The sequence below is a fragment of the Homo sapiens genome, chromosome X (assembly GCF_000001405.40).
Source record: "Homo sapiens chromosome X, GRCh38.p14 Primary Assembly".
Taxonomy (NCBI): domain Eukaryota; kingdom Metazoa; phylum Chordata; class Mammalia; order Primates; family Hominidae; genus Homo; species Homo sapiens.
Genome location: NC_000023.11, coordinates 114721381 through 114739257, shown reverse-complemented (window position 1 = coordinate 114739257; position 17877 = coordinate 114721381). Strand labels below are relative to the sequence as shown.

The 17877-nt window shown below is 36.2% G+C and overlaps 1 protein-coding gene and 1 long non-coding RNA gene across 4 annotated transcripts in view; one reads left to right on the top strand and one right to left on the bottom strand.

Moving 5' to 3' along the window:
- Positions 1-17877, bottom strand: part of HTR2C (5-hydroxytryptamine receptor 2C) — a 325976-nt gene that overhangs the window by 170804 nt on the left and 137295 nt on the right. For all 3 annotated transcript variants that reach the window (NM_001256760.3, NM_000868.4, NM_001256761.3), the window contains 2 exons: positions 12287-12400; positions 7651-7964 (listed from right to left, as the gene is read on the bottom strand). In NM_001256760.3, coding sequence (NP_001243689.2) covers positions 7651-7964; positions 12287-12321 — 349 coding nt within the window. In that variant the 5' untranslated portion in view covers positions 12322-12400. The remainder of the gene's footprint in view (positions 1-7650; positions 7965-12286; positions 12401-17877) is intronic.
- Positions 1-17877, top strand: part of LOC105373313 (uncharacterized) — a 96198-nt gene that overhangs the window by 74434 nt on the left and 3887 nt on the right. Inside the window, exon 4 of the long non-coding RNA XR_001755943.2 lies at positions 8482-8636. This is a non-coding gene — a long non-coding RNA (uncharacterized LOC105373313). The remainder of the gene's footprint in view (positions 1-8481; positions 8637-17877) is intronic.

The following is a 17877-nucleotide window of genomic DNA, read 5'->3' as shown; positions in this document are numbered from 1 at the left end:
GGAAACATAAGGCATGCTCATATTTTTCCTGATCTTAGGACAAGTGCTTTTATTGTTTTCCTATGAACTAAGATGCCAGCTGTCTGACAAAGTTATTTATATTTTATCACAGTAAAAAAGTAATATCAATTTCTATATTCTTGAGGGATTTTTATCAAAAAAGCTATAAATTTTGGCAAATGTTTATTCACTCAGTATCTTTAGAGATAAATCATATACTTTTAAATTAATATTTTTATGTTAATGTTATAAATATAATAATGTATTAATATAATTATCAATATTCATTATATTTTAGCTTTAATTTTTAATATGTGCTTATTAGTAATAATGTTAATGTCATATGTTAATATATTTTAGGAAAATATTTCCCTATATTGAGCCAACATAGTGTTACTAGAATAATAGTGTGACCACCCAGTTGGTCATGGTGTGTGTATATATACATATATTTTCTACTTTAAGTTCTGGGATACATGCGAAGAATGTGCAGGTTTGTTACATAGGTATACATGTCCTGTGGTGGTTTCCTGCACCCATCAACCCATCATCCAGGTTTTAAGCCCTGCATGCATTAGGTTTTGTCTTAATGCTCTCCCTCCCATTGCCCCCTCTATGCCCCAACAGGCCCCGGTGTGTGATGTTCCCCTCCCTGTGTCCATGTGTTCTCATTGTTCAACTCCCACTTATGAGTGAGAACATGTGGTGTTTGGTTTTCTGTTCCTGTGTTACTAGTAACACAATGTTACTAGAATAGTAATAATAGTGTGACCACCCAGTTGGTCGTGGTGTATTCTTTTTTAATGTGGAGTTGGATTCTTTTTTATTTCAGTTTTCTTAAGTTATAATTGACAATTAAAATTAGTATACATTTATGGTGTATATTGTGATATTTTGACATATCTATGCGTTGTGAAATGATTAGATCAAGCTAATTAACATATCCACCACCTAACATACATTTTTTTGAGACTGGAACATTTAGGACCTACTGTTAACAATTTCAAGCATGCAATACAATATTATTAAGCATTGTCATTATACTGTACAATAATAGGTCTCCAGAATTTATTCACCATGTCTAACTGAAACTGTACTCTTTGACAACAATTCCTATCTCCCTTCCCCACCCCATATCACCCCAGCCTCTGGAAGACACTGTTCTACTCTCTGCTTCTACAACTTTGAGTTTTTTCAATTCACATGACATTGGATTCTGTGTGCTAAGATTTTATAAAGTATTTTTGCATTAATAGTCATAAGTGACATTGGTCTATAGCATCCTTTCTTCATACTGTCTTTACCTGGTTTATGTATCAAAGTTATTCTCACTTCATATAAACCTTAGGAAGTTTCACTTTGTTTTCAATGCTCTGAAACAATTTTTGAAGCATTATAACTAGAAGAGCCCAGTGAAACTATTTGAGTCCGGAGGGATTTTTGTGCAAGTTTCCTTGATAACTATTTCTTCTACTGAAATTGGTCTGTTTCCTTTTACATCTCATGGGGTCAATTTTGTTAACCTGGATTCCTCTGATAAATTATCTATTTTTTATGTTTTCCATTGATTTGCATGTAAATCTACAAGGTAATCTTGTGATTTACAAAATTTATTTTTTTCTATGATTATATGCCCTCTCATATTATATTTGATATATTTATGCTCTATTCCTTTTTCCTTGTTAAAACTAGCTAGCAATTTTCTATTTTGTGAAAAATCTTTTAAAAAGTCAGGAGTGCCCTGGCGCGCTGGCTCACGCCTGTAATCATAGCACTTTGGGAGACTGAGGCGGGCGGATCACTTGAGGTCAGGAGTGGCCTGGCCAACATTGTGAAACCCCGTCTCTACCAAAAACATAAAAAATTAGCCGAGTGTGGCGGTGCACGTGTGTAATCCCAGCTACGCAGGAGGCTGAGGTGGGAGAATCACTCGAACCCAGGAGGCGAAAGTTGCAGTGAGCCGAGATCGTACCACTGCACTCCAGCCTAGGTGACAGAGCGAGACCCCATCTCAAAAAAAAAAAAAAAGAAAAGAAAAGAAAAAAAAAGCCAGGAGTTTAATTTCTTGATTAGGTATACTGTCCTTTTATTCTCTACTGTTCTCTACCCAGTCAATTACTGCTCTTATCTTTATTATTTTTTTTTTCTGCTTTGTGCTTTCTTTTGTTCTCTTTTTTGGTCCTTTTTCAAGATTATTTAATGGAAATTTATTCATATACTTTGGTTTTTTACTAATAAATGTAATTGGAGTTGTGAATGTTCCTCTGTTCACTCCTTTATGTGTATCCTATAGATTTTGATAAAGCAGTGTTTATGCTATCATATTTTAAAATAAATTTGGTAATTTCTGTTTGCATTCTTCTTTTCACCCAAGAGCTGTTTAAAATTTATGGTTCCAAGATGATATTAAAGCTTTTGTTGTTAGTACTTTCTAGTATTATTACATTGTTATCAAAAAGAACTTTTTATAAAATTTCTACTTTAACCTTTTCTTGTGACCTAATATATGATTAAATTTTGCGTACTTCATGTGCACTTAAGAAGCTATACTTTCTACGATAAGAGTGTAAAGTTCAATATACATTCATAAGATATATATTCTTTGTTTTTGGTCCAGTCTTTCTTGTACTGAGTACAGTATATTAAAATCTCCCATATTAGAATGCACCCATAAATGTATTCTTCCACCGTTTTTAGATTTTCCTTTATAAAAGTCATTTCTGTGTTATTGGATGCAGAGATATTCTTAACTGCCATTTCTTTGTCTTTAATTGTGGCTTTCTTTTATCATTAATAAGCATCTTTCTTTTTTAGTCTTACCATTTTTTTACTTCAAATTTCTTTTGTCAGATATCAAGATCGCAATTTCTGCTTTATTGTTACCATTTGCTTGGTATACTTTCACCTACCCCTTTATTTTTAGCGCTTACTAATCCCTGGGTTGTAAGGGTTACTTTTGTATATGGAATATACTTGGGTCTTTCTTCATATGCCTAATTAAAAATCTTTTATGTTTAATAGAGTGATAGCTTCTTCATTCGAGTTTATGATTATTACTTACTGATATGTTTGATTTTAACTCTGTCATATTATATCATCATATAATGTTAAGTGCATTATGTTTTCTTTTCTCTTTTTTTTTTTTGAAATAGAGTCTCGCTCTGCCGCCCAGGCTGGAGTGCAGTGGCGCGATCTCGGCTCACTGCAAGCTCCGCCTCCCAGGTTCACACCGTTCTCCTGCCTCAACCTCCCGAGTAGCTGGGACCACAGGTGCCCACCACCACACCTGGCTATTTTTTTTGTATTTTTAGTAGAGACGGTGTTTCACCATGTTAACCAGGATGGTCTGGATCTCCTGACCTCGTGATCTGCCCACCTCGGCCTCCCAAAGTGCTGATTACAGGCGTGAGCCACCACGCCCAGCCTTATTTTCTTCTATTTCTTCCTCTATTTGACTGATTTTGGCTCTTCTACTAATTACATTTCCTTTGGTGTTTAAGAACGTGTGTATTTTTGTTCTAGTGGTTAACTTTATATTTATAACATGCTTAATGACCCTAGACCCATGTTTTCTTATTCTATTACTTTCTGATTTGCCAGTTTTTTATGGTTATAATTTAATTCTTATCATTCGTTTATAGAAGAATCAACGAAATGATTCTACTCTCCTCTTCCCCTTCCTCTTTCTCTTCCTAATTTTTGGTTGCATTGTTTCCAGATTGTTAGAACAGATAAAACATAATATATATTATATGACATGGTATTTTTCTGCTCTTAAAATACCATTTCTTTTATTTTAGCTCTAAAGTTAAATATATTAAATGTTTATCATCAGTCTTTTTGATGAAACTTTCCCAGTCATCCCTTTGTTAGATGAATCCCATCCACTATTTTATTTTGCTTTATTTTGTAATTTTATTTTATTCTATTTTATTTTATTTGAGATGGAATCTCCCTCTGTCGCCCAAGCTGGATTGCAGTGGCTCAATCTTGGCTAACTACAACCTCCGCCTCCTGGGTTCAAGCGATTCTCCTGCCTCAGTCTCCCAAGGAACTGAGATTACGGGCAGGCAGCACCATACCCAGATAATTTTTTTGTATTTTTAGTAGATACTGGGTCTCTACTAAAGAAATCCGGTTGGCCAGGCTGGTCTCGAACTCTTGACCACAAGTGATCCGCCCGCCTAGGCCTCCCAAAGTGCTGAGATTAAAGGCATGAGCCACCACACCTGACCTCCACTATTTTATTTTTTAAAAGGGCTTGTGGTACATAATTCCCTGAATTTTAAAAGACTTAAACTTTTTATAGCCTTAATGGACAACTTGTCTAGACATAGAATCATATTTCCAAACCATTTTGTGTATTTAAAAATATTTTTAAATTTATGGCATCTATTATATAGAGTAAAATTCACCTTTTTAAAACTGTATACTAGAATTTATAGCTCTTCAAATTTATATATATATATTTGTATAACCATCACCACAATCAAGATATAAAACAGTTTCATAATAACAAAATAAATGGCTTTTTGAAGTCATCTTCCCACTTTCAGCCATTGAAACTATTGATCTGTTTTCTGTCTGTATAGATTTGTCTTTCAAAGAATGTCCTATAAATGGTTGTGTTTTGATAGTATTGTTTCACTATTGCTTTGTTTTGTCTTTTTTTTTTTTTTTTTTTTTTTTTTTTACATGTAAGGCAGTCTAACACTCTTGCTCTTGTAAATTTTTCCCTCTTTTTGCTTTGGAAACCCCGAGGATTTTTTCTTTATATTGAAAAATCCAGTGTCTCAGATTTATCTCAGAGTTCATTGTTTCAGGTCAATTTTCTAGCACTGGGTTGAACCTATCAATATGTAGAGTCAGACTCTCTTTCATATCTGGAAGACATTATTGGATTATAGTTTTAAATATTAATTCTGTTTTCCTATTTGTTCCTTTTCAAGGGTTCTCATACATACATTTAATCATTTTTGCTGATATTCTATTTCAACCACACTCTAACATATTTTACTTCTTTCTTCGTCTCATCTTCATTCTCTTTGGTAATCTGTTTTTCTTCTATACTCCTTATTAAGCTTCATATGAATCAATTCTTCGTTGGGTGCTTTTTATGTTCATTCCTGATATGATGTATTTTTCTTCTATTTTATTTGTCCTGAATTCAGTTAATTTTCCTTCATGCTGTCCTATTTTTTTGACCATTTCTATTCTTAGTTATTAGATTACTACTTCAAAGTACATTTTTTAATACCTTAACATGCTTGTTTGCAGATTTTTTTTGAAGTGTTTTGCTAGCATATTCTTCGGCTTGATCATTCTTTATTGGAGGGAATGTTCATCAAATGCCTTCTTTCTATTCTCATATTCTGATTTTTTTCTATAGTAGCTTGGTATAGATGAAGATTGGTTGCATCTCAGAATTTCTATGAACATGACTGACAGTTTGTAGGTAGCTTCCAAAATTCCAAGCTCAAGAGCATCCTCTTTTCTTTGTGTATCAAAGTATGGTTTCTTTACTGGAGGGCCTTTGGGGGACAGTGGGAGACAGTAGAGGGAGGGGTGATGGGTCCTAATATTTTGACATTTTCTGTACTGTAAGATGATAAATTTCCCCCTCTTGCTTCTTTTTCCTTTCACTGTGCTTTTTTTTTTTCAAGTCACCTCTTGCTTCCTTTTTTACCTTTTTCCACCTCCAAAGAGTTAATTTTCCAAGGCTGCTTTCTTGAGTCTTATGCATACTTTTCAGTACCTTATCTGAAAGCTGACCTTCTAGAGAAACTTTTCAGTATTTTCGTACTTGGGGTAGACTTACTTGCTTGTGGTGGTTTTTTTTTTAAATTTTTTTATGGAGTATTGCTCTGTCGCCCAAGCTAGAGTGCAGTGTTGTGATCTCGAGTTGCTGCAACCTCTGCCTCCCAGGTTCAAGCAATTCTCCTGCCTCAGCCTCCCGAGTAGTTGGGATTACAGGCGCCCACCACCACGCCCGGCTAATTTTTTTGTATTTTCAGCAGAGACTGGGTTTCACCCTGTTAGCCAGGCTGGTTTCAAGCTCCTGACCTCAAGTGATCCGCCAGCCTGGGCCTCCCAAAGTGCTAGGATTACAGGCGTGAGTAACCGCGCCCGGCCACCTGTGGTGGTTTTAGATCAATCTTAGGCTTCCTAATAGCTTTCCTCTAGTTTATTTCATGCTATCTTTCCTGGACTACTCTTCTTCTACGCAACAGCATGGGGTAGAAGTCTAATAGATAGTTCAATGTTATTTCCCATTTGTTTTCCTACTTACAGGTAATTTGAAATTTGAATGTTCTCCACACTTAATGGTGGTATTGTGCAGTTTTATTTGTTTTTTATATTGTTCTTTGTTTATTTGGGCAGGGGAATAGATATGTTAAGAGACTTGGATTTATGCTAATATCATTATTTGGCCACTCACATTTTTTTAAAGGGAGAAGCTGGCGAAACAGACACCACAGAACACAGTATACCTTCTAAATCATAGTTTCACTTCATTCCAGTAATCTTTTCTTAATTTTGGAGCAATAGAGTGGTAAAATGCCCACTGAGCAGATAAAATACTAGTGCTTTAAGGCTAATGCATCATTGAAACTCGATGAAGAATATGAAAAGCATATATTCTGAGAACACTTTATAAAATGCCTATTAAGATAATCTACTGTTGCCATAGGTATAGAACAGGCTACTTAATTTTTACATTACATGAGAGATTATTTTCTAGATGCATTTATTTTCTTTTAGGATTCGACAACTAGATACACTTTCAATATTATTTCTTCTAGTCTAATTCCATTATACACTCCAGGCAACTGGAAGTCTATTTTACTCCTTTGTGAGATAAGCATATTAGCAATTAAATTCAAACTGGGCTCTCCAACTTCCTAGTAAAGATACTTTGTAGAGTTGTATAAACTATTTGATTGTTCATCATAAATATTAGCTAGAAACAAAACCTTAGGTTAAAATGAACAGAATGAAGGGATGGAAGAAAATCAAAAGAAAAATTAAAAACCTCTTTAAAATCAATATATTGAAACTTTCAATGCCTGAATTTTTAAAGTGATGATATGAACTTACACTTATATACTTAGTAATTAATTTTGCTATCTCTTGTCTCTTTGTAATAACACAAATTATAGACTCCATGAACAAGAAGAATAGCTATTATTGAGTGCCTGTTTTGTGTCAACCACTTAGTTTGGCAGCTTTAAAAAAGGATTTCTTAAAATATATTTATTAAAGAGGATGAGCCGGTTTTTCCTTCTTTGTATCAGAGATGGTAGTAGGTATGTGTACTGCCCAGAACACAGGGGTTGAAAGATGTTTCTGTTAATGTCTCATTCAGTACATTGTAAGGCAACTAACTGTTCATTCATTGTTTACAAAGACACTAAGCAAGAGAGCATCTATGTATGATTTTAATATATATAAAATGTATGTTTTGCTTTTGGAAGACTGTTACTGATTTGTTTAATAAATATGATACATACATCCAACTCCTTCTGTCACACGATTTGCTTTTTTCTTTTTCCAAATGTTACAAGTAAAATAATTAACTTTATGAGTGTTTACTATGACACAAATTTATGACATTATACGAGATTGAAAAGTGAATAAAATTGTACTTACCATAAAGGATTGCCAGGAGAGACAGGGGCATGACAAGTAGTCCCACTAGCATATCAGCAATGGCTAGGGACATTAAGAAGTAATTGGTGGCATTGTGCAGTTTCTTTTCCATGCTTACTGCCATGATCACAAGGATGTTGCCACCTATTGTCATGATTATTATGATGACGATTGAAAGTGCTGGCCAGTTTTGTACCCCGTCTGGGAATTTGAAGCGTCCACCATCGGAGGTATTGAAAATGTCAGTTACTATAGCTGCTACTGGGCTCACAGAAATATCAGATTGCCAAACCAATAGGCCAATTAGGTGCACACTGAAAATTAAGAAAAAAAAAAACAATCAGGTACATATTATATTACTTATACACAATACGTTGCTCATGCAAAACAACTGCTTCTTCATGGATCATTGTCATCATTATCATCATCAGCATCATTGTCATCATCATTATTTCTACTCTCTTAATTAATCTCAGTATTTCTTCTTTCTCTCCAAAAATCACCAACTTTTATTGAGTGATTATTATGAGTTAGGCACTTAGTTTGCTGAAACATATATGTATAATCTCATTTGATCTTATTAAACAACCTCATGATGTCAGTTCTAATTTATATCCATCACGTAGATGAGAAGACTGAGTAAAGTTCAGAAAGGGTAAGTAACTTTTTCAAGCCTAAACAGCCAGTAAGTGGCGGGGCCAGGGTCCATACTCAGGTCCCACTGATTTCAAAGTCTATGTTTTAAACTTTTACTGCGATCTGAAACCACAGTACTGCTTGATTTGCTGTAATAGTCTATTCTTTATATTTTTAAAATACTGATTCCTTTAGATATGTTCTGAGACAGCTGATAACAGAATGAAGGGGGATTTTCTTAAAGCATCCATGACCCTAACAAGGAAACTGGAAGTTGCATTCTATTGATCCAAGGCTAAGAAGGAATTAAGTTGCCATCAGATCAAATTCCGGCAAAGCGTCTGGAAGAGGTACAGTGGGTTTTGACAAGAATACCCTTTCATTTCTTTTCAGAAGTTTTTCTACCTTCTCACATTTGCAAAGTGCCATTATGCTGGTTCAATTGTTTCTTAACGTTTTGTGCTATAAACTTTCCTTCTACCTGCCACTCTCCACATTTCTGTCTTGTCTTATATTTTGTGGGCCTTGTTCTAGGCTAGATAATGATTTGTGGTGATGATTAATGCCTATGGATTTGTTACTTTTCATGCACTGGAACTAAATCTCTTAAGTCATTTAAGTACATTAGAAATGTACATTTCTCATGATGGTCCTTTGGTAGATTCTACCAGTAGGAATTTCAGGCCAGGTGGCAGGCTATTGCCAGAGATGGATGTGGTTGTCATTTGCACATTCTAAATTAATATCCCCCTATGGCGACATGAGATTTATTCGAGTTATGTACATAAGTATTCTCTCAAAGTGTAAGCTCCTAAAATGTCTAATAAAGCTACACATTTTTTCCTTCATAAAATAGACAAGACAGCCAAGCATGTTCAATATTTCCTGCTTAAAACTAAGAAATATTACCTGTGAATGAGTGATTTATGTTTATTCCATGTGTAGTAATAGTTATTTAATTAATGTTAAACAGCAACATGAGGATACATTTCCTATATGTAGTGGTTGTTCAACCTTGATATTATTTATAGAGGAGAAAATTGCCTCTGGTTGCACAATATATGCTACATAATTTTCTATGCAAGATAGTTGAAGGATGATTCTTTCTGAAATTAGGGAGATGGAACACATGACATAACATTCAGAGTCTATGTGTTCTCCATATTATGTATTTTTATGTCATTATCCCAGTCACTTGTTCTTTGAACTGAAGATAGTATCTCCAGGCAGGGATAATATATGTGTGATTTAATGGACTCATTGCTGACTACCATTATCAGAGAAATCGTAATTCTTATCAAATGATGAGAAGTAATCAGTAAATTCTTCCAAATGTATTATTTTCCCAAAACATAAAAAATAGGCAAAAATAATACAGGATTCCAAAATCTATGTCATAATTAATCTGTGATTAATATGAGTAAAAATTAGTGAAATAAAGGACCAAATAAACAGAAGCAAGTTATTCGCTCTCAGCTTTGATTACTCTGTCACTGTATTTATTGAATGTGGCATGTGGCCAATGTCCTGGCTATCTGACTTCAGTAATTTTTGACCAGTCACTTAACCTATCAGAACATCAACTTCATCTGTACAAGAACAATCTCCATCATATGGTTGTTGTGAAAATTAAATGATATATGTCAAACTTTAATACCTGTGTCATAAGAGGCCTTCAGTAAATGCTGGAGGTACCTTCTGTCTGCTTTGTAGTTAAACAAAAGCATTTTATGTTTGCTATATCCCAACTCATGTATTTCAAAATTTGCCAGGATAATTTAAGTCTTGATTTTATTTTGAGACGACGTCTATGTGTGAAGAACTGGACTCAAAAAAGTAATCTTAAATCCAGCACGTTTTCCAGAGTCCTTTCTGGCCTAGCTGATAAAAAACTTGTCCTGCTGGCATTTTAAAAAACAATGTTCTGTTTTAAATTAGCTGAAGATCATCTCAAGTAGTCCCACAAGAATTTATCTCAAATACTAAACTGCGTCTTCAGTTGTTGATTGCAGAATGACAAATACATTTATCCTTAAACCTATAGAATAAGGTCCTAGGGGAATATGCAGTCTGCCTCAAATGTTCTAAGTAAATTGTGAAAACATCGAAATTCATTCATATGTCTCTAAAAATGGTAGAGGGGTACAGGACAAATTATATATAACAGAAACATATACGAAGAAAATTATGTCAAATTATGAATTTTATAATTTGAGTATCTTTGAGTTTGGACTGTTTCAAGTAGTTATCTAGCCTATCCCTACTGGTCAGAAAATTTTTTTTTAATAAAAGAATCTGTAAGACAAATACTGAATTATTGAAGGAAGGAGTCTTGTCAGATGTAAACATATCTGTTGTGAATTACAAAATAAGGTAATGGTGTTAGGATAAATCTTGATAAAGTATTTACTTCACTTTCCTGGTTTCAATTAAATTCAGTTTAATAAATTTTTATTGAGCACTACTTATAGACAAGATTTTATGATTTTTATTAAAGTTTAATCCTTTATTCTTCAGTTTTGTAATGAAGAATTGTCTGTATTATAATTAAATCTAATTTTTAATACTTAACATGCTCAGTGAAATTATAAAGTCCTTTTACAAAAGAGGAGTAATTTAGGTCTTGCTCTTAAAGTTTATCCTAATTGTTTTTAAGCTCATAGGAATCTCATAAAATATGTATACAAAAGTCATAATTTCTCTCTGAAATGCATATAATTTACTCATTGCTACTAAAGTTTTAATGAAAACATAACTTTACATTCTTAGTATATAAACAAAATGATAATTTAATTTAAAAAGTTGAATATATTTAAAATCTACTGAGTTTTTCTATGACCTAGGACATTGTTAGAAGACAGGAATTCTTCCTTGTTTCTCTCAATAGAATTTAAAACAATTGTATATGAATTCTTTAATTAATTTCATAGCAGAATAATTTGGTGCCCTTTACGGCAGTCCTACACTTTGGTATATGGGCCAATGGCTATATACTAAGTTGGCACAGGCCCATGGAGCAGGAACACTTGTCCTTTCATTTTCCCATACCCAACTCTTCTTTTCCCTTCTTTATCACTGTCCTTCACTCTTTTCTTTCCCAGTTGTCTGCTCTAGTTCTCTTGGACTCTTCCATACTTGAAACTATCATCACAACAATGACACTCAAGATGGGCCACAGTGATGCACACTGCAGAGGATCCAATGTTGCTGAACTTTATATCTCCACCACATTGTAAACTTTTTCCTGGGTGAGCTCTTTTACAAGAATCATAAAGGAGACTACCTAGGAGCAAGGAGATTTGGGGTTTCTCAACTATACCAATCAGAGTTTACATTGCTTTGGATCATTTTTTTCTATGCTTCGTTCCTCAAAAAGCAGGTTCGGAAGAAACCAACATTTTTCTATGTAAAAAGAAGGTATACCTGGATTAGATCAAATTTAGAATTGCTTATTATTTGAATCTCCTGTATCTTTACCTACACCCTTTATGTTGTATATTATTGGCTGCAACTGGGTCACTGCATCAATACTTCTGAGGATGACATTGGTTTTTCCCATCCAGCTACATCGCCAAGCCCTATCCCCTAACTTCCAACCTTTTCTTTTCCTACCTCAACTATTCTTCACAAAACCAGAGGCATTTCATTCTCTTAACTGTTCAGTTCATGCAAGAAGGAAAAGGACAGAAATTTTTCCTTTCTAAGTTTTACCCATGGAAAAAGTAGCCATGAACATTGAGATTATTTGAATTTAGGGCATTATCACCATATTACTTGTTTAAGTATATGAGCTCAAGTGCTTAATTAGAGTCCAAATTTTTTTTTCCATTAATTATTTTTGAATAGGAAACACCCATAATATTAGTCTTTTGGGAAGCAAGCCATTTATGCAGATTTAGGCAAATATAGCTGATCATATAGAAGCATTTTTTTAACATGTTGAGCAAGCTACCAAGCAAAGTTATCTTTTTACTAAAATAATAAGTAGTAACATCCTTACAGGAATGAATGCACCGCATTCCTCAGGTTCACCATGATTGCTTCAGTCTTAAGCAACCAAAGTTTAAAATTGAGAAGACGAAATTAACAGGCTAGGTTCATCATATCATCCTTTCTGGGGAGAGAAAAAGAAGAAAGAGAAAATTAGTTAAACATCGAAATAACTTGCATAGTAACCAATTAAATAAACTTAAATGCACTTAATGGTGATAAGAAACAGTTATTAATTCAGCAAACAGGTAAGCATGTTATACTGTGTAAGTGATAAAATATGGCAAAGAGAGCAGATTTTTCAATTATTTATCATCGCAGTTTTTAAAAATTTTCTGTATATGTTTTATTTATACATGGTTTATACCAAATTTCCCCCTCTTGGAGTAGACATGGCTTCAAATCAATGTTTTGAAAAAGAAATTAAGAATATATTCTTCAAAAACTTCTCAAGATGGCCGAAGAGGAACAGCTCCGGTCTACAGCTCCCAGCGTGAGCGACGCAGAAGAAGGGTGATTTCTGCATTTCCACCTGAGATACCGGCTTCATCTCACTAGGGAGTGCCAGACAGTGGGCGCAGGTCAGTGGGTGCACGCACCGTGCGCGAGCCGAAGCAGGGCGAGGCATTGCCTCACTTGGGAAGTGCAAGGGGTCAGGGAGTTCCCTTTCCTAGTCAAACAAAGGGGTGACAGACGGCACCTGGAAAATCGGGTCACTCCCACCCCAATACTGCGCTTTTCCAACAGGCTTAAAAAACGGCGCACCAGGAGATTATATCCTGCACCTGGTTCCGAGGGTCCTATGCCCACGGAGTCTCACTGATTGCTAGCACAGCAGTCTGAGATCAAACTGCAAGGTGGCAGTGAGGCTGGGGGAGGGGCGCCCGCCATTGCCCAGGCTTGCTTAGGTAAACAAAGCAGCCCGGAAGCTCGAACTGGGTGGAACCCACCACAGCTCAAGGAGGCCTGCCTGCCTCTGTAGGCTCCACCTCTGGGGGCAGGGCACAGACAAACAAAAAGACAGCAGTAACCTCTGCAGACTTAAATGTCCCTGTCTGACAGCATTGAAGATAGCAGTGGTTCTCCCAGCATGCAGCTGGAGATCTGAGAACGGGCAGACTGCCTCCTCAAGTGGGTTCCTGACCCCTGACCCCTGAGCAGCCTAACTGGGAGGCACCCCCTAGCAGGGGCAGACTGACACCTCACACGGCCGGGTACTCCAAAAGACCTGCAGCTGAGGGTCCTGTCTGTTAGAAGGAAAACTAACAAACAGAAAGGACATCCACACCAAAAACCCATCTGTACATCACCATCATCAAAGACCAAAAGTAGATAAAACCACAAAGATGGGAAAAAACAGAGTAGAAAAACTGGAAACTCTAAAATGCAGAGCGCCTCTCCTCCTCCAAAGGAACGCAGTTCCTCACCAGCAATGGAAGAAAGCTGGATGGAGAATGACTTTGACGAGCTGAGAGAAGAAGGCTCCAGACGATCAAATTACTCTGAGCTACGGGAGGAAATTCAAACCAAAGGCAAAGAAGATGAAAACTTTGAAAAAAATTTAGAAGAATGTATAACTAGAATAACCAATACAGAGAAGTCCTTAAAGGAGCTGATGGAGCTGAAAGCCAAGGCTCAAGAACTACGTGAAGAATGCAGAAGCCTCAGGAGCCGATGCGATCAACTGGAAGAAAGGGTATCAGTGATGGAAGATGAAATGAATGAAATGAAGCGAGAAGGGAAGTTTAGAGAAAAAAGAATAAAAAGAAACCAACAAAGCCTCCAAGAAATATGGGACTATGTGAAAAGACCAAATCTACCTCTGATTGGTGTACCTGAAAGTGACAGGGAGAATGGAACCAAGTTGGAAAACACTCTGCAGGATATTATCCAGGAGAACTTCCCCAATCTAGCAAGGCAGGCCAACATTCAGATTCAGGAAATACAGAGAACGCCACAAAGATACTCCTCGAGAAGAGCAACTCTAAGACACACACTTGTCAGATTCACCAAAGTTGAAATGAAGGAAAAAATGTTAAAGGCAGCCAGAGAGAAAGGTCGGGTTACTCTCAAAGGGAAGCCCATCAAACTAACAGCTGATCTCTCGGCAGAAACTCCACAAGCCAGAAGAGAATGGGGACCAATATTCAACATTCTTAAAGAAAGGAATTTTCAACCCAGAATTTCATATCCAGCCAAATTAAGCTTCATAAGTGAAGGACAAATAAAATACTTTACAGGCAAGCAAATGCTGAGAGACTTTGTCACCATCAGGCCTGCCCTAAAAGAGCTCCTGAAGGAAGGGCTAAACATGGAAAGGAACAAGTGGTACCAGCCATTGCAAAATCATGCCAAATTGTAAAGACCATCAAGACTAGGAAGAAACTGCATCAACTAATGAGCAAAATAACCAGCTAACATCATAATGATGGGATCAAATTCACACATAACAATATTAACTTTAAATGTAAATGGACTAAATGCTCCAATTAAAAGACACAGACTGGCAAATTGGATAAAGAGTCAAGACCCATCAGTGTGTTGCATTCAGGAAACCCATCTCACGTGCAGAGACACACATAGGCTCAAAATAAAAGGATGGAGGAAGATCTACCAGGCAAATGGAAAACGAAAAAGGCAGGGGTTGCAATCCGAGTCTCTGATAAAACAGACTTTAAACCAACAAAGATCAAAAGAGACAAAGAAGGCCATTACTTAATGGTAAAGGGATCAATTCAACAAGAAGAGCTAACTATCCTAAATATATATGCACCCGATACAGGAGCACCCAGATTCATAAAGCAAGTCTTGAGTGACCTACAAAGAGACTTAGACTCCCACACAATAATAATGGAGGACTTTAACACCCCACTGTCAACATTAGACATATCAACGAGACAGAAAGTCAACAAGGATACCCAGGAATTGAACTCAGCTCTGCACCAAGAGGACCTAATAGACATCTACAGAACTCTCCACCCCAAATCAACAGAATATACATTTTTTTCAGCACCACACCACACCTATTCCAAAATTGACCACATACTTGGAAGTAAAGCTCTCCTCAGCAAATGTAAAAGAACAGAGATTATAACAAACTATCTCTCAGACCACAGTGCAATCAAACTAGAACTCAGGATTAAGAATCTCACTCAAAACCGCTCAACTACATGGAAACTGAACAACCTGCTCCTGAATGACTACTGGGTACATAAGGAAATGAAGGCAGACATAAAGATGTTCTTTGAAACCAATGAGAGCAAAGACACAACATACCAGAATCTCTGGGACGCATTCAAAGCAGTGTGTAGAGGGAAATTTATAGCACTAAGTGCCCACAAGAGAAAGCAGGAAAGATCCAAAATTGACACCCTAACATCACAATTAAAAGAACTAGAAAAGCAAGAGCAAACACATTCAAAAGCTAGCAGAAGGCAAGAAATAACTTAAATCAGAGCAGAACTGAAGGAAATAGAGACACAAAAAACCCTTCAAAAAATTATTGAATCCGGGAGCTGGTTTTTTGAAAGGATCAACAAAATTGATAGACCACTAGCAAGACTAATAAAGAAAAAAAGAGAGAAGAATCAAATAGACGCAATAAAAAATGACAAAGGGGATATTACCACTGATCCCACAGAAATACAAACTACCATCAGAGAATACTACAAACACCTCTATGCAAATAAACTAGAAAATCTAGAAGAAATGGATAAATTCCTCGACACATACACTCTCCCAAGACTAAACCAGGAAGAAGTTGAATCTCTGAATAGACCAATAACAGCCTCTGAAATTGTGGCAATAATCAATAGCTTACCAAGCAAAAAGAGTCCAGGACCAGATGGATTCACAGCCAAATTCTACCAGAGGTACAAGGAGGAACTGGTACCATTCCTTCTGAAACTATTCCAATCAATAGAAAAAGAGGGAATCCTCCCTAACTCATTTGATGAGGCCAGCATCATCCTGATACCAAAGCTGGGCAGAGACACAACCAAAAAAGAGAATTTTAGACCGATATCCTTGATGAACATTGATGCAAAAATCCTCAATAAAATACTGGCAAACCAAATCCAGCAGCACATCAAAAAGCTTATCCACCATGATCAAGTGGGCTTCATCCCTGGGATGCAAGGCTGGTTCAATATACACAAATCAATAAATGTAATCCAGCATATAAACAGAACCAAAGACAAAAACCACATGATTATCTCAATAGATGCAGAAAAGGCCTTTGACAAAATTCAACAATCCTTCATGCTAAAAACTCACAATAAATTAGGTATTGATGGGATGTATCTCAAAATAATAAGAGCTATCTATGACAAACCCACAGCCAATATCATACTGAATGGGCAAAAACTGGAAGCATTCCCTTTGAAAACTGGCACAAGACAGGGATGCCCTCTCTCACCACTCCTATTCAACATAGTGTTGGAAGTGCTGGCCAGGGCGATCAGGCAGGAGAAGGAAATAAAGGGTATTCAATTAGGAAAAGAGGACGTCAAATTGTCCCTGTTTGCAGATGACATGATTGTATATTTAGAAAACCCCATTGTCTCAGCCCCAAATCTCCTTAAGCTGATAAGCAACTTCAGCAAAGTCTCAGGATACAAAATCAATGTGCAAAAATCACAAGCATTCTTATACACCAATAACAGACAGAGAGCCAAATCATAAGTGAACTCCCATTCACAACTGCTTCAAAGAGAATAAAATACCTAGGAATCCAACTTACAAGGGATGTGAAGGACCTCTTCAAGGAGAACTACAAATCACTGCTCAAAGAAATAAAAGAGGATACAAACAAATGGAAGAACATTCTATGCTCATAGGTAGGAAGAATCAATATCGTGAAAATGGCCATACTGCCCAAGGTAATTTACAGATTCAATGCCATCCCCATCAAGCTACCAAGGACTTTCTTCACAATATTGGAAAAAAATACTTTAAAGTTCATATGGAACCAAAAAAGAGCCTGCATCGCCAAGTCAATCCTAAGCCAAAAGAACAAAGCTGGAGGCATCACACTACCTGACTTCAAACTATACTACAAGGCTACAGTAACCAAAACAGCATGGTACTGGTACCAAAACAGAGATATAGATCAATGGAACAGAACAGAGCCCTCAGAAATAACGCCGCATACCTACAACTATCTGATCTTTGACAAACCTGAGAAAAATAAGAAATGGGGAAAGGATTCCCTATTTAATAAACGGTGCTGGGAAAACTGGCTAGCCATATGTAGAAAGCTGAAACTGGATCCCTTCCTTACACCTTATACAAAAATCAATTCAAGATGGATTAAAGATTTAAACATTAGACCTAAAACCATAAAAACCCTAGAAGAAAACCTAGGCATTACCATTCAGCACATAGGCATGGGCAAGGACTTCATGTCCAAAACACCAAAAGCAATGGCAACAAAAGACAAAATTGACAAATGGGATCTAATTAAACTAAAGAGCTTCTGCACAGCAAAAGAAACTACCATCAGAGTGAACAGGCAACCTACAAAATGGGAGAAAATTTTCGCAACCTACTCATCTGACAAAGGGCTAATATCCAGAATCTACAATGAACTTAAACAAATTT